The following is a 25,385-nucleotide window of genomic DNA, read 5'->3' as shown; positions in this document are numbered from 1 at the left end:
TTACATCTTTTTATATTATGCACTCATTAACAAATTATTCCACCTATAGTTATTTCAATATTTATGACTTTAAACTTTTACACTAGAGCTAACAGTGATTTTCACACCACCATTTCAGTATTAGAGTATTGTGAATTTAACCATATATTTACTTATGCTGGTGATTTTCATACCTTCATATGCCTTCATGTTGTTAGCATTCTTTTATTTCAACTTGAAGGATTCCCTTCAGCATTTTCTATAAGGCGGATCTGGTGGTGATGAACTTCATCACCTTTTGTTTGTCTGGGAAATTCTATCTCTCCATTCCTGAAGGATAGATTTGCTGGGTTTATTATTCTTAGTTAGCAGGAGTTTTGTTTTGTTTGTTTGTTTGTTTTTTCACTTTGAAGGTATCTATCCACTTTCTCCTGGCCTTCAGCATTTCTCTTGAGAAATCTGCTGACAGTCTTATGTGGGTTTCCTTATATGTGACAAGTCACTTTTTTCTTGCTTCTTTCCAAATTCTCTCTTTATCTTTGACTTTTGACAATTTGATTGTAATGTGTCTCTGTGAAGACCTCTTTATGCTCAACCTATTGGAATTCTTTAGGCCTCTTGGATCTAGATGTTCAATTGCCTCTTCAGACTTGGAAATTTTCTGTCATTATTTCTTCAAATAAGATTTCTGCCTCTTTTCCTTTCTCTGCTCCTCTGGAATTCCATGATGTGTAGGTTTGTTTGCTTGATGGTGTCTTACATGTCCCATAAGCTTTCTTCATTCTTTTCCATTCTTTTTTCTTTTTGTTTCCCTGACTGGATAATTTCAAATAATTTGCTTTGAGTTTCCTGATTCTTTTTTCTGTTGGATTGAGTCTGCTGTTGAAGCTTTCTATTGAATTTTTTATTTCAGACATATTCTTCAGCTCCAGAATTTCTGTTTTTTTAAAAAAATGGTGTCTATCTCTTTGTTGAACTTCCCATTTTGTTATTGTATTGTTTCCATGACATTGTTTCGTTGTAGCTCACTGAGCCTTTTTAAGACTTTTTTTTTTAAAATTCTTTGTCAGGCAGTTCAGAATCTTTATTTCTTTGGAGATAGCCACTGGAGTTTTACTTTGTTTCTTTGATGGTGCTATATTTTCTTAATTCTTTGTGTTCCTTGAAGCCTTGCCTTGCTGTCCTAACATTTGAAGAAGGAATCACCTTTTCCTGTCTTTACTGGCTGGCTTCTGGATAGAAAGATCTTCCACAGTGAACTTGGCCTGAGATTCCAGTGATCTCTCAGACTTCTATCAATGCACCCACTCCATTTCTCTTGTTCCATCTGAAGGGGTATGTGTTAGGATTGTATGCCTTCTTTTGATCCTGTAAGGCCAGACTTGCTGCTGAGAGCCTTCTGTTTTCCCTAGGGCAGTGCCCTGAGGCATTCCTTAGGTCAGTGCCCTGAGGTTGTATCCTTTCTCCAAAACTAGCAGAGTCAAGCTGGTGGCTAAGATCTGCCCCTGCTGTTGATATTTGTGTGCTTTCTATGGGACTTTGCATGGGTTGCAGTGAAGATGCACAGGGTGCCACCCATGGGTATTTGAAGGACATAGTTAGTGGGAGATGTCTTCAGGTGAGGTTTCCTGCAGGGTTCATGGGCAGGCCTCTTGGTAGAGGCAGTTAGCAAGTTTGCAGGATGTGTGGCTGCATGTTAAAATCTGTGCACCAGTTGCTGTGTGCTTCTGTCTCTTCTCTGGGCTCCTAGCTGTCCCTAGATGATTTAGCTGTACTGATCTCCTCACTGTTCTTGTGGGCAGCATAGAAGTGGGCCTCTTGGTCAACTCCATCCCACAAGGCCAAGGAGGGTGAGTGCTCACCACACTCTCACTTTTTCCCATGGGAATGTTGTGGTCAAAGGGGTCCTCTCTCAGTATCAAGTTGTGTTGCTTTTGGAATAGGATAACAATAGTAAAGTAAAAATGCTCTTCATGGGTGGTTGCCAACATCAGAGTTTCTGAGGAGAGGTGGTCTGGAACCTCCTATTCCAGCATCTTGCTGATGTCACTCCCATCAGGACTCTTTTAGATTCTAAGAAATTATTGAAGAACCCAAAAAGCTTTTGCTAATTTATCAATATACATCATATGAGAAATTTAAACTAAAAAATTATAAAATATTAATAAAAAACCATAACACACTAATTACCTATTAACATTGAAAACCATAATTTACTAAAATGTATTTTAAAATGTCAGTCATAATTAGAAGAGTGGCATTCTTTTGTATTTTTGCACATCTCTTTAATGCCTGATTAATAAAAGATAGTAGGCTTCAATCTGTTGAGATATCATACATCATGTAGTCTGTAGAATCCTCCACTGTACAATGATGTCAAAGTGACAAATAAAAAGGCAAATATAATAAAAATGATATTATTATAAAAATAGTTTTGACTTTGTCTGGGGTCCTAGGCTGTACTTGGAGAATTGCCGCGTCAAACAAAATTATGTTTGACCATTTCTGGGTTTGACTTCTCTTTCACATGTTAAATAATATGCTTACACCTCTAGTTAGTTATCTTCTAGTTAAATTTGTGTCTAATCACTCCCTTCTCTGACTATTTTTCATTCATTTCTTCTTTCCTGATTTTTATTTTTGGTACTTGTACTGGCTATCTTTATAACTTTAAATAATACCTTTACATTGTCTCCTGGGGAATGTCAGAACATTTTCTTTACTTCCAATTATATAAAATGAGAACTTTATTAGACTTTAGTTTGCTTATATATTCATCTCCATTTCTCTTTCCCCTCTTCTCTTTCAAAATCTGCCAACAGTACCCTCAATTTACATGGTCAGATTTTCCAACAGTTACATTCTTTCCCTTTACTAAAATTATGGCTTCCATGCTTTGCCTATAAATTGAACTTAAAATGGAAAATAAGAAGAAGCACTTAAATTGTGATGATTATGTAAATATTTCTACATGTAAAAATTCAGAAAAATAAATAACATTTTACATCTTTAAATCTGTATTGTTTGGAGGAAGATGTTCCAAGCATGAAAGTCAAATAAATTCTCTTTTCTCAGTTGCCTGTTGCTGTAAACAATGACATTTTAATATGTTTCTTACTTGGATCCAAATTTTCTTGTGTAATTTTTGTTCTTCTTAGAGTTTGTAATGCCTTTTGTGTATTGGTATGTGTGTATGCATGTATGTGTGTGTTTATAGGAGGAATGGGGGCTTTAAAAATAACTATATGCCTAAGATAATTCAAGTTCTTAATTGTACTATTTGTTGGATGCACGGATATGCATCCTAGTCCTGCTGCAGAAGCATTATTATGGATTCTCTTGGATTTTATGTCTTCCCTTTTGTGGTTTCCATTTTAGTTTAGCTGTAGTGCATTAAGTAACTTTTTTTTTTTTTTTTGAGACGGAGTTTCACTCTTGTTGCCCAGGTTGGAGTGCAATGGCGCGATCTCAGCTCACTGCAACCTCTGCCTTCCAGGTTCAAGCAATTCTCCTGCCTCAGCCTTCCGAGTAGCTGAGATTACAGTCATGCGCCACTATGCCCAGCTAATTTTATATTTTTAGTAGAGACGGGGTTCCACTATTTTGGTCTTGAACTCCTGACTTCAGGTGATCTGCCTGCCTCAACCTCCCAAAGTGCTGGGATTACAACCATGAGCCACTATGACTGGCCCAAGTAACTTTTTATAGAAAGGAATATGAATTTGCTCATTATTTGTATGTACAATAATGTCTTTATAATTTTTTCATATTTTGACTGAAACTTTGGCTAGATACAGAATTCTAAGTTGAAAATAATTTCCTGTAATATTCATAAAGACATTGTTTCAGTAGTATACAATATTCAGTATGGCTAATGAGAAATGTGTTATGAATCTGATTTTTGCTTCCTTGTAGTCAACTTCTTTGTGGATACTTTTTGGCTATTTCTTTTCTTGCTGTTCTGAATTTTGTAAGTATGAGCCAATATGTGGGTATTATTATTATTGTTATTATTATTATTAGTTTTTAGATGAAGTCTTGCTCTGTCTTCCAAGCTGGAGTGCAGTGGCACAGATCTCGCCTCACTGCAACCTCTAACCCCCAGATTCAAGTGATTCTCCTGCCTCAGCCTCCTGAGTAGCAGAGATTACAGGCAGGCGCTGCCACGCCCGGCTAATTTTTGTATTTTTAGTAGAGACGGGGTTTCACCATATTGATCAGGCTGGTCTTAAACTCCTGACCTCATGATCTGCCTGCCTCAGCCTCCCAAAGTGATGAGATTACAGGCATGAGCCACCGCTGATGCGGGTATTATTTTATTTATTCTGCTCTTCAAACAGTGAGACCTTTCAATTTGAATACCTGTTTTTAGTTTTCACAAAGTTTATGCTGTTAACTCTTTCATTATTTCCTTTGCTTTGTTTTCCTTTTCCTTTTTCTTTTTCTGGAACTCTTATTAAGTAGATATTGGACATCCTTGATTTTTTCTTTGTCTTTTTGTTTTTCTCTCATTTTTAAAATAATTATGCCTTTTATATTTACTGGGAGATGGCCTTAAATGTTTTATTCCAACTTTCTTTTGCAAGTTTTATTTTGGCTGTCACATTATTATTTTCCAAGAACTTTTTCTTTCTTTCTCATTACTCCTTTATGAGATTTCTAAAAATGTGTTTTAAAATCTCTTCCAATATCTTTAGTAACAGTGATTTAAAATTCTCTTGATTGAAGTGAAATTATTTTTGTTTCCTTTGGGTTCAGTTCTACTTGGTTGTCTTTGTCCTTCTCCTTGGTTTTGATGGGTTTTCTTAAATGTCTGATAGTTCTGGGTTTTATATTCGTATTTGTGAATGAAGAATTAGGTTCATTCATATAGATTACTGCTTTGTTGTTTACCTGACTTTACTAGCCTATGTCCTGAATGAGAGAGTTTACTGAGCTCAGTGTAGTGTAGACAGCTTGCTGGCCATTTGACTTTACTGCAGGCTTGGGACAGGAAGGCAGAATCCTCTACTCCCACCTCCACAAGACTTGCCAAAACAATGAGGACTCTATTATGTGGCTTTAGTGCCCTACTTGAAAGCCAGAGTTCCTCTGAGGCAGTGTGTCAATCTGTTTTGGGCTTCTTTGACAGAATACCTAAGATTTGGTAATGTACAATGAACAAAAATTTATTTGCTCACAGTTCTAGAGTCTGGAAAGTCCAATATCAAGGCACTGGCAGGTTTGGTGATTCCGATGCCAAGATGATGCTGAGGAGAGGAAGGCTTTGTCTTCACATTGGCAGAAGGTAGAAGGGCAAAGAGACAAAAGGGGACCAAACATGTCTTTTTAGAATGGCAGTAATCTCACCCATGAGGTAGGAACCCTTATGGCCTAATCACTTCTCAAAGGTCCCACCTCTTAATACTGTTGAAATGAAATTTCAACATGAGTTTTGGAGGGGACAACCACTCAAACCATAGCAGGCAGATAGCTCGATTACTTCACATAATTTTTCTGCTTTAAACTTGGGTGCACATGAGAGGGTGGAAAAGTCAGTCAATGCAGGTTTTCTGCCAACAATTCTTCAACCAGTCACCATTTTTCTTCTTATTTATATTTCCTGTTAATTTTTACTCCTGTTCTCTCTTTAACTGCTGCCTGGGGTTGGGATGAGGCTGCAAATAGAGCAATGAGGAACTGCTTTCTCCTCTACTGATGTCTTCTCTTATGGATCCCAGGGTTGTAATGACAGGTGTTTAGTAAATGTTGGCTTGAGTTAAACAAGACATTCATTAGTTTACTCTTTAGTCTGGTTCAAATAACAGGTCTTGCCAATTCTTGTGCTTTACTTATACCCTGAAAAGACAGCATTTGAGTCTCATGGCAATGGGAATCTCATGTAGGCAAGCTTGTTTAATTGTTTAACTGAGGAATTAATTGGTGAAACATCCTGCTGAAGTATTCTTAAGTGGCCTGCTCTTTATGTTTCAAATGTTATCTTAGGAAACCTGACCCACAGACGTGTAACTTTGCCTCAAGTTGAGAGAGGTGCGGACTCATCTGAAGGCACACGGAAGCTCCAAAAGGAGTCCTTTGGAATATAAGCTGTGCTTCTGGACAGAGAGAAAAAAACCCTGCATATTAATTAAAATGAAACAATTTGATTTGATGAATGCATGTGCTTATATTTTTATAGTAGCCTTCTAACATGACCCTCCCCATGATGTACATAAGTCTTTATGAACAAAACATGAATGTTTGCCAAATGATATTTTTAGGAAGCATTTAATGAGTGCCAGTATGCCTATAGGACACTGAAAGAAGCAAAACAAATGTTGCATTTCATTGATGTCAGCAATAGCTTGTAAACCTCAGACGTGATTTCACACCCAGAGATTGCGCCACTGCCCAGAATGAAAAACCATTTCAAGGGAACTCCTGGCACCACTTTTAAGAGCACTTCGTGAATGGCCACACCATAGCCTTCGTGTGAAGGCCAGTGAAACAGCAGCTGGTGAGTACATAAGCCTCTCGCCTCGGGAGGTCTGAGCTCATAATCAGACTTGCTTTGGCCGCAAGGAAAAGTTTACTTCGTTCCTTCTTGTTCCTACTTAGCCTCATTAGAAAACCACCATACCATTTAGCTTGGTTTGCTCGGTTGGCAGTGTCTGTTGAAGAGGAGGCCAGAGGTTGGGTAAACAGGGCCTGGCTGAGGTGTGTTGGCTCTACTGAGTGGATTTCTGCCTGCCACCTGCCTGGGCTTGAGCTTTCTTTAGGCCAAGCACTATTAATCCTTCTCTGTCTTCAACACTAAATCCATGTCAAACTTTTTCTGTTTTAATTTAGAGCTAATTCATGAGGTATTTGCCCTTCTGAAGTTGGAATCTGTAATGATTTAAAACATGAGACTGGTAAGTACAACTGTTGGACTGGGATGGGGTCCTAGTTTTGAAAACATTTTGTTTTCATTGCACCAGGGTATTCTTGGCCTCCCAGCTATTAGTGTATTACTGTCACCTTTTTGTAAGTTGGAAGTGAGGTGTGAACATTTAAGGTTTTCCACATTAGACATTTGAAAATAATGGCAAAAGTAAAAATGGAAGGCTTGAGAAATATTGACAAGTTTTACGCTTTCTACATCATTAATTTTAAGGAACTTCTTTATCCAATAACAGTATAAATCCAGCAGATTTGAGAGTTGAGACAGAAACTTCCCACATGGGGCCAGGCACGGTGGCTCATGCCTGTAATCCCAGCACTTTGGGAGGCCGAGGTGGGTGGATCACGAGGTCAGGAGATCGAGAGCATCCTGGCTAGCACGGTGAAACCCTGTCTCTACTAAAAAATACAAAAAATTAGCCAGGCATGGTGGCGGGCACCTGTAGTCCCAGCTACTCGGTAGGCTGAGGCAGAAGAATGGCGTGAACTGGGGAGGCGGAGCTGGCAGTGAGCGGAGGCCACGCCACTGCACTCCAGCCTGGGCAACAGAGCAAGACTCCATCTCAAAAAAAAAAAAAAAAAAAGAAAGAAAGAAAGAAAAGAAAAAGAAACTTCCCACATAGGCTTTCCTGCTGCTCCACACCAGAGCACCTGCTCAAGCCAAAGCAGGATTTTCTTTCTTTTGGCTGTCATGAACCACACTATCCTCTCTTGGCTTTGCCCAATATAACTGCTGCTCTGGAACATAGCACACTGGCCCTTTTAGTTTTAAACGAAACTGCAAACTAGCTTTAAACTTCCTAAGCTATTTATAAGAACATAAAAATCTCGTGTTATGTAGGTATACATGTGCTATGGTGGTTTGCTGCACCAATCTACCTGTCATCTAGGTTTTAAGTCCTGCATGCATCAGGTATTTGTCCTAATACTCTCCCTCTGCACATGTATCCTGGAACATAAAGTAAAATTTAAAAAATTGAAAAAATACTCCTCTGAAAGCAGTGTAATAAATTAGGCATTGTCATAAATTCAGACCAAAGAACAGTGGGAAGGAATCTTTTCTAAATTTGGGGGAAAAATATTCAAAAATAAGTAATAGGAGCTGATTATCCCTTGACAGACAAGTTTTTAGGTGAGGTGTGAATGACCCACTGTTCACTTGATGGCTGCCCCAATTCTGCCATCTGAGGAGACCGAGCAGAAACATTTAAGAAGCAGAGACTGTCTGAAGACGAAAAATCTCACGCTCATTCTAACTGAGAGGACACAGAATGTCTGAGGCTATATTCTGTCATCTATTAGAAGCAAAGAAGTAAGAGTATACCGTACGTTTCTACTGGCAATCTAAAAGACAACAGTGTTTCTGGAGAGGCTTTGATTCTGCTTCTGAATGGTATTTTCAATACCTCACAGCAGAGTAGAGGATGCAAGGGAAAAAATCAGAGTTCAGCTCAAGTCTCCCTTCCTTCATTAAGCCTTTTATCCTCAGGGAATAGCATTTATTTAGCAGGTATTGGTGTAAGTTTTGGAGATACAGTGACAAATAAAGGATTTTAGCTTTCAAGGAGCTTACATTTTAGTAAAAGAGACAGCCTGTATGTTCATAATGAGAACTGTGAAGAGGCTGAGTTTCACCCTACTTGCAAAGCCTACAACAGTTTCATGAATGCTGTTACAATACATGAGACTTCTGGGTCAGAAATGAAGGAAATTATTACTAACAGCAATAGCAGTTGCCAGAGAGTCAGCATTTATGTGCAGGTTCCCTTAACTCCAATCCCACAGAGTGACTAGGAAGAGGGCCAGAGGATACTCACAAAAGCTGGAGAGGAACTTTAAGTTTAGGAGCCTAAGTCCTTAATGGGCAGTAAGCATGCCTTTCCTTCGATTTGCTGGGAAACATTACCTTTATTATGCTGGACAGTGAGCATGCCTGCCCTTTTCACCAAAGGGAGGCATTATCTGTATCTTCCAAGTCTGTTCACCATACAAACTCCTTGAAAAGGTAGTTTTGAATAAAGATCAGTCAATGACTCATTTGCAAGACATGCAGAAACACGAGAGACCCATGGAGAATTCTTTCCCAACAGTTCAAAGTGATGGCCTGATTTGTCAGAGTAAAGACAGCTCTGCTTATAGGGGTAAGTAGTAGTTTTTCACATGCTGCCTCCTGGGATTTATGGATGTGACTACAATACCCAAAGGGGCATATCTTCAGTTGGGACAGAGGAGGAGCAGGGCTGAGCCAAAGAAATTTGCAGTGTGATGATTCTGTTGGCAGCGCCCAGAAAACTTCACAGTCCTATGACAGCATGAAATGTTAGCTATGCAACTCATGGCCAGAAGTGTTGGGCTGCAGGTGTCAGTCAGGCCGGCTACCAATGTGTCCAGGCATCTAGCCAGGAGGGGGCTGAGGGACTTGGAGGAGAGATGAGAGCCAGTCATGGAATAATTGCATTAAAAAACAAAAATACAAAACCAAAAATATCCCATTGTTTTTGCAGTGAATTAGCCCAAATAAGTGTCACCTGTTGGCCAGGATTTCTTTTACTTTAGCCTGATATATAAGAATTTAGAAACAGCCATATGAATTTATTGAAAGTTGGTAAAAACAAAATGTGCTTCTGAGCTGTCTGCCATTTCAGCCTTAGTTAATTTTTATGGGTGATCTTTAAACTCCTAGAAAACAAATGTATAATAGAAATGCTAACATAGACACAGATTTGACCGTAAAAAGATGCAGTGGAAGCTGATATAGACACCATGGAATTTTGTAGGCAGAATTTCATAACAGAGCATTTGGTTTAATAATAAAGTTGAAAATAACAAAATGAAGTAAAAATAAGAAAAAAATTTATTACTGGTGGGAGGGTTTTATAAAATAAAGTGTCTCTTAGAAACCAAGGAATACACAGAATATATCTCTTGAAATGCTTATTGTATGTATGTCTGGTGTAACAAATTGACTTAAGGCAAATTGTCTTTGAATTCTTAGACCCGTGGTCTGGATTCCTCCTCACTAATAGTGTTAACAAAATAGTAGTTGTGTAACTTATTTTCTAGGCTGCTTAGGAGAGAAGCTACTGTGCATTTTATTAGTCTTTTTTAAAAATTTTATTTTAATTTAATTTAATATATATATATATATTTATAATACTTTAAGTTCTAGGGTACATGTGCACAATGTGCAGGTTTGTTACATATGTATACATGTGCCGTGCTGGTGTGCTGCAACCATTAACTGCTCATTTACATTAGGTATATCTCCTAATGCTATCCCTCCCCCCTCCCCCCACCCCACAACAGGCCCCGGTGTTTGATGTTCCCCTTCCTGTGTCCAAGTGTTCTCATTGTTCAATTCCCACCTATGAGTGAGAACATGCGGTGTTTGGTTTTCTGTCCTTGCAATACTTTGCTGAGAATGATGGTTTCCAACTTCATCCATGTCCCTACAATGGACGTGAACTCATCATTTTTTATGGCTGCATAGTATTCCATGGTGTATATGTGCCACATTTTCTTAATCCAGTCTATCATTGTTGGACATTTGGGTTGGTTCCAAGTCTTTGCTATTGTGAATATGCCACAATAAACATACGTTTGCATGTGTCTTTATAGCAGCATGATTTATAATCCTTTGGGTATATACCCAGTAATGGGATGGCAGGGTCAAATGGTATTTCTAGTTCTAGATCCCTGAGGAATCGCCACACTAACTTCCACAATGGTTGAACTAGTTTACAGTCCCACCAACAGTGTAAAAGTGTTCCTATTTCTCCACATCCTCTCCAGCACCTGTTGTTTCCTGACTTTTTAATGATCACCATTCTAACTGGCATGAGATGGTATCTCATTGTGGTTTTGATTTCCATTTCTCTCATGGCCAAAAAAAGAGCCCGCATTGCCAAGTCAATCCTAAGCCAAAAGAACAAAGCTGGAGGCATCACGCTACCTGACTTCAAACTATACTACAAGGCTACAGTAACCAAAACAGCATGGTACTGGTACCAAAACAGAGATATAGACCAATGGAACAGAACAGAGCCCTCAGAAATAATACCACACATCTATAACTATCTGATCTTTGACAAACCTGACAAAAACAAGAAATGGGGAAAGGATTCCCTATTTAACAAACGGTGCTGGGAAAACTGGCTAGCCATATGTAGAAAGCTGAGACTGGATCCCTTCCTTACACCTTATACAAAAATTAATTCAAGATGGATTAAAGACTTAAATGTTAGACCTAAAACCATAAAAACCCTAGAAGAAAACCTAGGCATTACCATTCAGGACATAGGCATGGGCAAGGACTTCATGTCTAAAACATCAAAAGCAATGGCAACAAAAGCCAAAATTGACAAATGGGATCTAATTAAACTAAAGAGCTTCTGCACAGCAAAAGAAACCACCATCAGAGTGAACAGGCAACCTACAGAATGGGAGAAAATTTTTGCAATCTACTCATCTGACAAACAGCTAATATCCAGAATCTACAATGAACTCAAACAAATTTACAAGAAAAAAACAAACAACCCCATTGACAAGTGGGCGAAGGATATAAACAGACACTTCTCAAATGAAGACATTTATGCAGCCAAGAGACACATGAAAAAATGCTCATTTTATTAGTCTTATTCAATTTTTTATTTTAATCCCCTTCCTCTGCATACCCTTTCCCCAAGCTTGCCATATGTATGCTGGAAAAGAGTATTTGTTTTTGAAATTTTCATGCAAAACTTTGCATAATTGTTGTGTGTGACCTCATGTAGTTCTAACGATTGCACATCATAGAGTAATTATTATCTCCTTTTACAGATGGGGAAACTGAGAAAGAGAGAACTTCAGGAATTGCCTATAGTCATATAGTGAGGGACAGTGCAAAACAATAGATTGTCAAAAAGATACTATGATCTGGTTCCCTCTGAAATAATATTGTTATGTAAACAGCTTGTTTACTTGATGGGATGACAACTTCTGGCTTCAATTACTCTTACAATTTTATAGGAGCTATGTCCATTTAATGAAGTTATTTCCGTTTAAAACTAATACAAATATGTTAGTAAACAAACCAATAACACACACAGATATGCACACATGCAAATACAAAAAGTGTTTTCTGTGGTTTAGTTTTGTAAGAGGCCACATTAAACCAGTTCTGCCAATGCCTCATAAAGGAAGGAAGGGAGGAAATTAAAGGAGAGAAGAATGCCAGGCAATGCCTGAGATTCTTTTGTGGACCTTAACTTCTGGCTTATGAAAATGTCAGACATAGAGAGAGAACTGCTGGAAGATTTGAGATTCAGACAGTGACTTTCCATTTAAAGGAATTACACAGTCTGTTTTGTGAAAAAAGTAGGGAAACATTAAAAAGTTTATTTATTCAATAAATATAGTTTTAGAAAGCAAATGTTTTTGTTAAGGAGATAAATTTAACAATTCAAGACACATTAAATGTATCCAACAATTATATCCCATACAGTGTTCAGTTGCTTCCCTTTCCAGTTTAAAAAATAATTTTTAGGGCTAATTTTGTAGTAAAGATAATGGAAACTGACATTTTCGTGGTGAAGAAAGCTTCACCATCAAATGGGTATTGTGTTCAGCAGTAACTTAGCAAATAGAATTAGGAAACTGTGTTTGTATTAATGTAAGCATAGATATTTAAGTCTTTATAGTAAAGAAACTTGAGGTCAAAAGGAATATAATATAACAGCTATAACCTTTCTTATACACAGAGAATAATGACAGTCATAAAATGCAAAATAGTAGGAGACCATAGAGACCCATTCAGCTTATGCTCTGTTTCTGATAATAATAACCAAGGTTGTATCAGCCAAATTTGTTGTTTTCTGCCATGCTTGTGGTAAACTTTTAAATAAAAGTCCCTCTCACCCTTCACTTCTCCCTTCACATGCAGACACAGAGAAATGTGAAAGGAATAATTTTATTCCCCCTGAACTTGTTCTTGGAAAAGTTAGAAGTAGATTGAAATTTAATAAGGCTTATAGGATTTACCAAAGTTCACAAACACTATTATGGCTATTTGTGTGGTTCCCTGCTCCCAGATATATACCTTGCCAGGTACTCAAGAGCTTAAAATTTCACCAATAAATTTATTACTTTGAGTTTTATGTGCCTTGGGTCATTGAGAATCTGTCTGTGAGGGATAACATGCAGCAAAGGATCTGACACATTGTGAGTGCATAATAAATGTTTTTGAATGGTGGCTTTATTACCTACTTATGGGGGTCAGTTGACAGTCAAGTGAGGTCACCTTAGATCCTCAGTTAAGACAAAGAGAGCATACAGAGAGTACCACAGAGGCTGGGAGTGAGGGTATGGCAAATGAAAGAGAGGACCAAACAGCCACTGTTTAGTTTACTGATTTGTTGAAGCTTTGTCTTTCCCATAAATAATATGCTAGACTTATTTTTTATCTTCCTTTTACTTTTTCTCCTTTATTGTCTTTCCTCTTTCAGATCCTACTTTCCTTCTCCCTTCTTTTCTTTCCCATCTGTCTAGTCTCAAAATGGATTTAAGGTAGTACTAGAAGTCAGCGTTATAAGAATTATAGGTAATATGAAACATAAGTAACTTGTACATATGCCAGATTAGAATTATTTTAATCAGCTATATATCAAGTCAATAATTTCTCATCTATATATTCCTATATATTTCCTGTGTCTTTACCGTATTTTAGGATATTTGGGGCCATTAAACACATTTTAAAATATTGTGCATTTTACTCTTTAAATTGACAGAGGAGCAGCCAACTTATCTTGCCGTCTTTGTTTGTTTTTTAATTTCAGTGGTTAGCATTAAATAAATCTTGATTGATTGTCAAAGGGGGTGAGATTATGACTTAATATCTGAAATTAAAAGACAAAGCTGAGCTGATTGCTTATAGCAAGGGAGAACTATTTAATTCAGACACAGTCTCCTGGAGAAGAGTAGATTACTGATTATATACAAGGTTTTTGGACAGCATGGGGCTCAAGGATTAGCACATTTTAAGAGGCATAAGTAGATTGACATAATCTGTTCAAGCATGATTATTCAGTTTAGATTTTTATTGATTGGTTGGCATTCAGAGGCATGTTTTTTAGAGTGAGTCTGTTCCTTATTGGTTGACTTTCAGAAGTGAGGGATGGCTATGGATTGATTGGCTTTAAAAAGCATGTTAATTGAGGCAAAATTGCCATTAATCAATTGGATGGATTTAAAAGTTGTTCTTAGGACTACTTGCTATGATGGCTAAAGAACAATCACTCTTTTTCCAAAGATTGTATCAATATTTGTATTCTAACTTCTTATCCGGATAAAGCAGCAGGAAGATTGCAAAAGTATTCACTACTGTTGTTTATTTTAATGAAGATGAGGTTTCATTTTTAATCAGCATGATTTCATCCTGTTTTCGTTAGTGAATCATTTGTTGGACCATCTATTTGAAAAGCAGCTATGCAGAAGCTTTCAAGACAATGAACAACAATTATTGAATAACTGTGACAAGAACAAGTTTAAGTATTATAAGTAGGGCCTATAAGACACTATAGAACCATGGCAAAAGATTTCTCAGGCCTGATCAAGAAGATAATACTTCCCCAAGTCTGTTTTAGAAGGCCAGGATGCCTTTTCTTTTAGCTTAGATTATTCCACCTCACCTATAATAAATAACATGAAGTGGAAACATGTTGTACCAACCCCCAGTTGGCCAAAATAACTAAATAAAATCCAAGGTTACCTGATTGGGTTAAGAAATTAAACTAGTCTATTGTGCCATCCTTGCCTGGGTTGATTTCTTACTATGTCAGGGAAGAAAAAAAAAATTTTTGATTACTATAACAAGTTATCTATCTCATATGAATGGGATCTTTAAGAGAGTTATTATTTATCTCCTCATTTTATTTGATATATTTTATTATTAAAAATATATCAGGTAACTTCCTGGATTTCTGACTTATGAACAAAGAAAAACATGTAATATTAGATATAATAAAGAAAATATAATTATAGATGTCATTGATATTAACAGAATTTTAAGAAAGTATGTGGAACTGTCTGGTTATAAATTAGAAAGAAAAAGTTTTATCAAGCAAAACATAAATGCTAGATTTTACCATATAAAAGAGAAAACCTAAACAGACCAATGGCTGCAGAAAAAATTAGAAATGTTGCTATAAAAGTTTGTTATAGAACTCTCAGTATTTTTAAACGTATTAGGTCCAGATGGTTTTATACCTGTGTCCTAGGTAACATTCAAAAAGAGATGAGTCATGCATAAAGCAATAACTCAAGATCACAGAGAAAGCACACACAACATTTTACTTAGCTAGCATAACCTTAATATGGAAATAATACTGACAGTATAAACATTTTAGAACTAGATCCATATAAGTAACTCAAATTTAGAGTTTTTTAAAGGAATAACAAAACAAAGCAAGTTGCACTCCAGGAATGAAAGGAAGGCTCAATAAGAAAAAGGGCAGCAACATAATTCATCTCATTTTCAAATGAAAGAAGAATAAAGCAATATCATTTTATTGAGTCTTAAAAATCACTTAAATTTAGCTGCATTCCTAATAAAATGATAAGTAAAATGGAGACAGAGAAAATGATCACCACATAATAAAACTATTAAAAATCTCAATAGCGTGCATCATAATAAACAATAAAATACTAGAATTCTTATCATTAAAAGTGGGACTAACAGAATGGCAATTATTAAAAAGTCAAGAAACAATAGATGCTGGTGAGGCTGTGGAGAAACAGGAATGCTTTTACACTGTTGGTGGGAATGTAAATATAAGTTCAACCATTGTGGAAGACAGTATGGTGTTTCCTCAAGGATCTAGAACCAGAAATACCACTTGACACAGCAATCCCATTACTAAGTATATACCCAAGGGAATATAAATCATTCTACTGTAAAGACACAGGCACATGTATGTTTATTGCAGCGCTATTTACAATTGCAAAGACGTGGAACCAACCCAAATGCCCATCAGTGATAGACTAGATAATGAAAATCTGGTACATATACACCATGGAATACTATGCAGCCATAAAAAAGAATGAGATAATGTCCTTTGCAGGGACATGGGTGAAGCTGGAAGCCATATCCTCAGCAAACTGACACAGGAACATAAAACACTCATAAGTGGGAGTTGAACAATGAAAACATATGGACACAGGGAAGGAAACAACACACACTGGGGCCTGGTGGGGTGGGGGGCGAGGGGAGGGAAATAGAGGACGGCTCAGTAGGTGCAGCAAACCACCATGCCACAAGCATACCTACGTAACAAACCTGCACATTCTGCACATGTATCCCCCAGAATTTAAAGTAAAATTGAAAAGATAAAGTGAGACTAAGATACTCAGTTATCTTCATTATTAAGTGATATTTTGGAGGTTCTAAATAAAGCAATGAGACAAGAAAAAAAAAGCATAAATATTAAAAGAGACAAACATCTTTATTTGCATAATTTCATCCTGTTATTGTTTGTGAATCATTTGTTGGATCATCTATTTGGGCAGCAGCTATGCAGAAGCATTCAAGACAATAAACAACAAATATTAAATAACTGTGACATGAACAAGTTTAAATATTATAAGCAGGGCCTAGAAGACACTATAGAACCATGACAACATAGAACATTATTATTTGCATATAATCCAAGTGATATAACTAAAGGTATTATAATTTAATAAAGTAGAAGGTATAAGATTATTGGAAAAGCAAATAAATTGCTTTTCTTTATATTAATAATCAGTTAGAAAGGAAGAAATGTATTTAAAAGAAGGCTTCAGGATATGTGCAGACATATCCTGCACATATCCTGCACAAAAATTATAAAATATTATTGAACGTTTTAAATAAATTAAGAGACATGTCTTGTTTCAGAATTTTAAAAATTAGTATTATAAAAATATCAGTCATTCAAAAATGAATATATAAAGCTTTTATTCAATCAGAATTTTCACATGTTGTTAAAAATAGGACAAAACAGAAGTTCATCTGGAATAAATGTTGCAGAATTGCCAACAATTTTTAGAATAATATTAGTAATGGGGTCTTGGCATAACCAGATATCAAAACTTGTTTCAAAGCTATTATCATCAAACCTGTATGATTTTGGTATAGAAGTAGATAAGTAGATCACAGAACTAACTAGAGAGTTCATGCATATAGTGGAACCTAATGTGAAGATGCCATTTCAATTCAGTAGGGAAAGAATGATATATTCAGTAAATAGTGGTGGCAGAATTGATTTCCCAATCTAGTTGGAAAACACAAAATTATGTTCTTACATGATGTGTTATACAAAAGACCCCACAAATACATTAAAGGGCTAGCTACAAAAGAAAGTAAAAATGAAAAGTTCTTTAGGAAAGAAAGAACAATAGAGACCTTAAGGGAAGAGATAAATGGATGACTATGAAAGAAAATATTTTTCTATACATTGAACTACATCATAAAAAGTCAAATGAGAGATTCAGAGGAAATATATTTGATACTTAATGACAGAGAAGGTGTTACTATTTCAAACATGTAAAGCATTACCATACATTGATTTAAAAAGATAACCTAACTGAAAAATAATAATAAAGTCAAGTGGCCAATAAATATTTGAAAATATGATTAATCTCATTAGTAGTCAAAAAGTGCTTGAAGCAGTAAAAAAATATAATTTTCCCCTCATGCTATTGAGAAACATTAAAGAATTTGATAGCATCAGTATTCACATACACTTGGAGTGAACGCATTTAACCTGTCAGGAAAGTTACTTGACAGCAAATTCCTCTTTGGAAATATGTCCTAGAGAATATTTGCACAAGCGCATGAAAAAATATGCATATGGATGTTTGCAGTGGAAAACATGGAAAAAAATCTGAATGTTCAAGTTAGAGAATGACTGGAAATATCTTAATACAATCACTTTGCGGATTATTGTGCAGCCATCAAAATAGAATAAGATCAATTTATTTATATGCAAGCATGTCCGCAATTCATTTTTAAATGAAACGAAGTAAGTTTTAATGAAATAATATATTTTGCTTAAATTTTGTCAAAAATGAAGTAAACAAAAATTAATACATGGGTATATAGGTTGGTGTACACCTCAATGTATATAGAGACAGGTGAGAGAGGATAGATATCAAAAAGGCAACACTGATAATCTTTGGATGGAATTGGTTGGGGTTTAGAAGAGATGCAAAACATGAGAAAAATATGAATGTTTATCAATTTAGAGAATGGCTGGAAATATTTTAATAGATTTATTTGTGGAATATTATACAGTGGAATATTAATATGAAATATTAATGTCTCCAGAAGAGGTTGGTTGGAGGCTGGAGAAGATGATTAATTTTTGTTTTTCTGTGTTTTTACATTGAGCACATACTACTTCAAATAATTACAATAGTAGAAAAAATAAAATTGATATTAATTTGTAAGGCAAATAGATAATGTAAAACATTAAGATTTTAGAACTCTTAGAAAGTTAGAAACTCTAGGGAAAAGAATAAATGCTAGAAACCCAACAGGTACACTAAAAGTGTCACAAGAACCAAGAGAAGGAGATAAACATTCTATGAACTTTTGGAAGTCTTGGAAGACATAGCTCTAAAAATATTATAACACTAGATAACTAGGGTTATTTTAGGTATCAATTGTTGTGTAACATACATATACATGTATATATACACATATATGCTTGGTCAACTTGAATTAGTATTTAAAAATGAGTAAGCAACAGGCAACAATAGCCACTCAGACTGACTCTGGTGACTTATTTAACTGCAGAGATCTGGAATTATTACTCCTGACTCTTGGGGCAGAAATGTAACCTCTGGTCAATGGGCCTCTTTTTTTTTTTTCCCTTGGCTTTCACCCAGCTTTGCTGCTCTTATACAGATGTGGCATTAAAGTATTCTCTGAATCACCAGCACATGAACAAAAGAATTTCTATGAAAAGTTAACAAAGGGGAAACTGTGACTTGGGGAGTTTTTAACTTCCCAAAGTTCAGGTGAGTCAGTGATGATGTTGAGATGGGCTCCAAACAATCATTTTAAGTGAATTTTCCCTACTCTTCTTCTACATTTTAGGCACTAAGATTAGCTCTTGTAAGAGTATGCCTTTTCCCACAGCAAACCATAAATAATGCTTTTTTTTTTTTTCCTTTTTAACGACGTCTCACTCTGTCACCCAGGCTGGAGTGCAGTGGCATGATCTCCGCTCACTGCAACCTCTGCCTCCTGGTTCAAGTGATTCTCCTGCCTCAGCCTTCTGAGTAGCTGGGACTACAGGTGTGTGCCACCACACCTGGCAAATTTAAAATCAAAATGAACACAAGTGATAAGACTGTACTTGTTTGGTTTTTAAAATAGCTAAAGATTGTCTCATTATTTATTGTCTTGGTTTTCACTTTGCTTTCAATAGCTGATATATAAACTAACTAGATTAGGAGATATTTAAATCTCACAGATATCCTGTTCCTGTTTTTCTCGCATGACATTTTGTAGGAGACAGAGCCAGAGATGACAGAAATGCAGCATAAATAGCAATGTGGATAATTATCTGAACTTTATAAACATATAAGGTTAGTTCATTCAGATTATATGTATGAGTTTAAAATAAACAAAATATATATCATGAAATTTAGTTTCAGGAAGATCCTGATGCATATTTTATGAACCTTATATTTATGGAATAACCATTGATTTTCCAATAAAATATCATTTAGAGGAAGAAATGCTTAAGTTCAAGGGACTAGATCTGTTAACAGAGTGCACTTTCCTAAATCATATCTGCAATAAAGACCCTCATGCTTGTATTATGATGCAGGCATATCAGGTTAACCATAGGAATTTGAAAATAAGAATATAGTTACCATTTGTATATATTTTGAATTTGGTTCTATGTAAAAAACAATTTGGTAGTTTTGGAGAAGTGACTTTAGATTCAATCTTATCAGAAATAATTGGAAGTAGCTCTGTATGGAAACATTCTCAGATGATTGTAGCATGGACTGGAACCTGGGGATCAACAAATTACAGCCCACTTATTTTTGTAGGAACTGATTTTTACATTTTTAAATGGTTGAAAAACATAAAAAGAATATTTTATGCCACATGAAAGTTATGTGAAATTTAAATTTTAGTGTTCATAAATCTCACAGACACATTCATTCATTTTTGCAGTTACCTGTGGCCATTTTCTTGTTACAATGGCAAAGTTGAGTGTACATGACAGAGACTATATTCCCCTCAAAACCAAAAATATTTACTATCTATCCCTTTATAGAGAAAGTTTGCTGATCCCTAGATTAGGAAGTCTCTGAGTGCATTTACTGTAAGGACTTGTATATGTTATGTTTCCTTTGTGGTAGGCCAAATGACATTAATTGATTAATTAATTAAACCTTTTATTCATAAATTCAATAAAGCCTATTTTGAGTATTGATACTGAAATAGCATTAGGAATAGAAAGATATGTAAAACAAACTCTCTGTCCAAGAGGAGATTATATGAAATGATTACATGTCATTAAGACAGCCATACTAAGAATGTTTACAAAGAAATGCCTTAGTGGACAGAGAACCATGGTAATTTTAGGTCCTACAAATTCTTTCTTGAGAAGAGTTCTATCACAAGATGTGCTGCAATGCTTGCAGACTGTGAACTTTTCTCTCTACCCTCTTAAACAGTGTCCTGAACTTCCATTTTCCTGCCCATATGTTTATATGGGTTCCCTGGTATCTTGAGATAAACACTGTTTCCCAATCATGACAGTCTTGGAGGTTCCGATTGGCAGCCACCATCACTGAACACTTTTTGTGTGACAAGTATCGTGCTAGGGGCCTTGCCTGCATTGTTATCATTTCACTCCTTATACTCCGTGAGGTAAACAACATCAGCCCCATTTCTGTAAATGAGGAAACTGAATTTCAGAAAGGGCAAGTCAACTTCTAGAAAGTGGCAGAGGAAGAGCCTCTAACATAAAGATGCTCATTTCCAAAGCCAATTCTTTCTACGCCAATTTATGACATTTGTCTTTTAGAGTCAAATTCTTCCTCTCTTCCATTATAGTGCTGTCTTTGGTTACTCTTGAAATGTTGATTGTTAGATAAGTCTTTCAGGCTGTGGCTATGTGACAAAAATATAATTGTTAGGAAGTATGCTGTTTCTATGTTTGTGGATGGCAGTGTGTTTTCACAAGAACTAGTTCCAGCCTGCATTCCACTTTTGTTGTTTCCTTTGTTTTTAAAGCATTTGTGTTTACTAGAATGAGGAGAATATTCCAGGTGGTCAGTAACTGGCTCTAGGTTATAGCCACAGGGTAGGTATTGTGAAATAGCAAAGAGAACTCCAATTTGCTGGTGGAAGAAGCATAGGTCCAAATTTTGAGTCTGTCACTTTCTTGATATGGATCCTTGTCAAAATCATTTACTCCCTAAGCCTCAGTTTTCTTATTTGTAAAATAATTCATGGTGGAACTTTAGATAGGTATCTCTCTATCCCCCATATGCATATGGCCATCTTTGGAATCAGTTTCTACCCAAAACTATCAATAGTGATCGCTTTGGCTGATACGATTATAGAATCACAGAATTGGGAGGAGCAGATAATGTATAATCTTTGGAGACAAATGGACTGAGGTCATTACTAGCTGAAGGATCTGAGGCAAACTGACTTTATTTCCTTGAGCCTCAATTTCTTTAAATGTACAATGAAGGAACTACAATACTACCTCATAGTAATCATAATATTGAATATTTACTGTGAGCTGGGAGCTGTTCTAAGCACTTTACATGAATTGATTGATTAAATCCTCATTACAACCCTATGAGGTCATTACTAATATAAATCCCATTTTGTAGATGGGGAAATTAAGACAGAGAGAGGTTTATGAAGTAGGAGAGTCAGAGGTTTATGAAGTAGGAGAGGCAAGAACCTTGGCAGCCTGGTTTTTGTTCCCAGGTTCTTAATAATTATGCCATAACTCCCACAGAACTCTGTTACATCTTAATTAAGAAAAATAAGTGAAGCCCTTAATACAGAGTAGGAGGAGACTCTGGTTGCCCTTCTGTGAAGAATGTTTTAAAAAGTATGACTCACATTCACATGCATTGGAATCACCTAGGGTGGAGAGGGAAGAGGAGTGGATTTGTCTGAAATGCTGATTCTTGTACTTCAATCTGGACTTACTGAATTCTGGGAATTCTACATTTTTTAAAACAAGTTGTCTGGCTGACTTTTTGTACACTAAATCTTGAGATATTCTATCCTTAGAATCACTCCAGTTCAGTTTGCTAACAATGCAGAAATCTTTTCATGGCATTGGAGACCAATTATTCCCAGGCTTTATAAAAGTTCCTGGTGACAGTGAACTTCCCCTCTCACAAGGCAGCTTATCCCGTTTTTAAAAACGTTTGGACTATTAGAAACATCTTCCTTGTAACTGAATAAAAGAAAAAAAAAAACACTTCTCTACTTAGTTTCTCTTCACATGATCAATTAAGCCTTCTGAGTCACAGAGATTATCAGCATAGGAAGGCACCGGCAAAGCCACCGTGGGAGTGTATGGGACCTGGAGATGAGATATGTTCATGAGCCCGGCATGAGGAACACAGTCTCCAGGGTCAACAGTGACCCATGAAGGAGGTCCTCAAGATGATATCTGTCCCAGCACAGTGACAGGAAGCCTTCGGAAGGATCAAACTCAGAAATCCCAGGCAGGAGGCAGGCAGGTGGCAACATCGTCAGGAAGGTGATCAAAGCATGGAGAACAAACAAGAGCTCAGATGCTGAAATGGGAAATGGGGAGATTGGTCACAGGGGCGAGTCCATAAAATTAATGTGAGATCACCAACAATTTCACTTGGCCCCGACACAACTGAGTTGTTGCAACTAAATGTGACATCCAAATGTGTCACAACTAAATCAGGGTTATTTGGGCTTTCCTTTAGTAGGAACAGGATTCATGTCTCCAGATAGTGTGCATTAGAGATGTTTAATGACAATAAAAATGGTAGTCAGATGGTCCTATTCGTGGAAATAGCAAGATAGGGAATGGGGCACATTTTCTACATTCAGTTATTAAAATATTCAAGGAAAGCCTTTCCTTCTCCAGCCTAAACATTTCAAGTTTTTTCAGCTGTCCAGCATAGGAGCATAGCATTTGGTTTCTGGAGATTCTTCCAATTGGCAGGAGTCATCATCAGATGCTGCAGCTTTTCAATATCCCTCTTAAATGTGGTACCTAGAGCTGATCACAGGGCACTGATATGGCACAACAATGCTAAGTGCAGCAGGCCCTCTTTCTTGTTCTATGTGTTACACCAAAACTAATAGCCACTTCAAACCACTTTCTAATTAGGCAGGCTGCGAATTGTAAATAGCACACTTCAGCTAAGGTAGCCTAAGATCACATTAGCTTTTCCAGCAGCCAGTCATGCACTTGGCTTGTACCAAAATTTCTGTCAGTAAAATCCCTGAAACTTTGTCATATAAAGTAGCACTAAACTGAGACAACGTTGGCTTGTATTTGCACAACTGAGTGTTTAAACCGAAGTGCAGGATTTTACATTTGTCTCTGCTAAATTCCATCCTATTAGTTTGGGCCAAATAGTCAAACCTATAGAGATATATTTTAATTCTATTTCTGTCATCTAACATATTTAGCTAACCCTTCCATTCTTGTGCCATTTAAAAATAGTACCAACCCTTCTATGTCATCATCCAAGTCATTAATAAGAAATATTTAACAGAAATAAGCTTGTTCTGTATTCCTAGGATCTTCCTCAAGATGACATTACTGTATTTGTTAATATCGTCTTAGGCACCTACTATATGCCAAATGCCATACTATGTCCTGGGGATAACAGTATAAACATGGACTAGTTACTGTTCTCAAGAGATTCACAGCCTAATGAAGAAGACAATAAATTAGTAGACCAATGCAATGCTGTGTGATGAGGGCTGTAATAGAGGGATATACAAGGGATAATGGTAAAATCAGGACTTTGGTAGAATAATCATAGAATAATGAAAATCCATTTGGAGTGAAGCAGAGCTAAATAGTTTAGAAACACTTGTCTCATTTACTTCCAATCTTATGAGCCTTTGTTAAAAAAACACTCTTATGCAATACTTAAAAAATTACCACTACTGTGTTTTTATTAACCATTAAGTTGAAGGCCCAGCTATGGTATGCTGCTGTCAACTCTGCTTTTTTATTGTGCCTGGATGTTCTTACCAGCTAGTTAAAAACAACCACTTATTGCCCTCCTGTGAAGAATATTTTTGACCCTTTTTCTTTTACATAACTTATCTATGCTTCCCTTATCTCCTCAATTCTGCCCCCATACCGATGATGAAGGACACTTTACTCAGACACAGATGGCAACAATTAGCTGTTTCCATTTCAAATTACAGTTGTGTCTGTGTGTGTGTTCTTGAAATGCTAGTGCCTGCAGGGGCCCACCCTACCGTCTTGTTTAGCCTAAGTTGGGTTACGATGCCAAAGCCAGTATAGAATAGTTCTAATCGGGTCTCCCACACAAAACAAAATAGTTAGAAGACTAGGTAGCCTGCTGCGCCTCACACACTCAACACAATCAGGCCCAGAATCTTGCTTCAAGATTCCATGGAAAATATTAGTTATTTTTATGTACACAAGTCAGTTCTGAATTAGTTTAGACATGGATTTTTTTTAACTATAAAATAAGGCTTGGAGAACTACCCAGAAGGAAATTGGGTTAATTCAATATATGCAACTTGGGCTGTTTCTAGTCATTACATGTATTGAAAGAAAAGAGACTGAATAGTGGTACTGGGGGTGTTAACATCAAGTTAACCTCATCTAGCAGCTCATTTTTTAAAAAAATCCTGTCTTTCTATTTTTGCCTCTAAGTTTTCTCCTCAGGTTTCCATTTATTTTACTAATTTGGGGGTGGGGGCCAGTGTGCATTAAGGGTTTGTTTCTGAAGTTAGATAGACCTGGGTTTGCATTCCACTTCTTTGTAGTTATGTGAACTGGGTGGGTCACAAATTCCCTCTGCCTCATTTTTCTGGACTGTAAAATGGTGACAATCAACAGTTTTTTTATTAGTGGGCCGCTGGGAGGATTAAACTATGTATGAAAAAAACTCTGGATAGCAGAGACCATATAAAGAAACAGCTCGATACACATGATCTATTTTGTTGTTAATATTAAGATAATGCTTTGAGGATTTGGATGATGATGCTGACCAAAAAAATGAAACTATTGTATTCCCATATATGTAGAATATTTCTTACAATGACTCAGGGATGTTGTTTTCTGAGCTGTTGACATATTGGATCACATGATTTTTATGCTTTTTGAGGGGTGGTGGTGTTGCTGTGCTGTGTATTATACAATGTTTAGCAATGTTCCTGGTTTCTGCCTACTAAATGCCAATAGCACCTCTTCTCCTCCCAGTTGTGACAACCAAAA

At 36.5% G+C, this 25,385-nt stretch overlaps 1 long non-coding RNA gene across 1 annotated transcript in view, besides 1 other annotated feature; it reads left to right on the top strand.

Annotated features, from left to right (window-relative positions):
• Positions 380-580: a silencer, noted in NCBI's record as "peak1815 fragment used in MPRA reporter construct". NCBI's record gives its function as "represses an SCP1 promoter by STARR-seq MPRAs in K562 erythroleukemia cells {active_cell/tissue: K562}" and the evidence as "EXISTENCE:reporter gene assay evidence [ECO:0000049][PMID:32103011]".
• Positions 6,826-25,385, top strand: part of LOC105369832 (uncharacterized) — a 38,018-nt gene continuing 19,458 nt past the window's right edge. The window contains exon 1 of the long non-coding RNA XR_001749199.1: positions 6,826-6,872. This is a non-coding gene — a long non-coding RNA (uncharacterized LOC105369832). The remainder of the gene's footprint in view (positions 6,873-25,385) is intronic.

The sequence above is a fragment of the Homo sapiens genome, chromosome 12 (genome assembly GCF_000001405.40).
Source record: "Homo sapiens chromosome 12, GRCh38.p14 Primary Assembly".
Classification (NCBI taxonomy): domain Eukaryota; kingdom Metazoa; phylum Chordata; class Mammalia; order Primates; family Hominidae; genus Homo; species Homo sapiens.
Note: the sequence above shows the minus strand (reverse complement) of the source record. Positions and strands in the feature narration are given on the sequence as shown.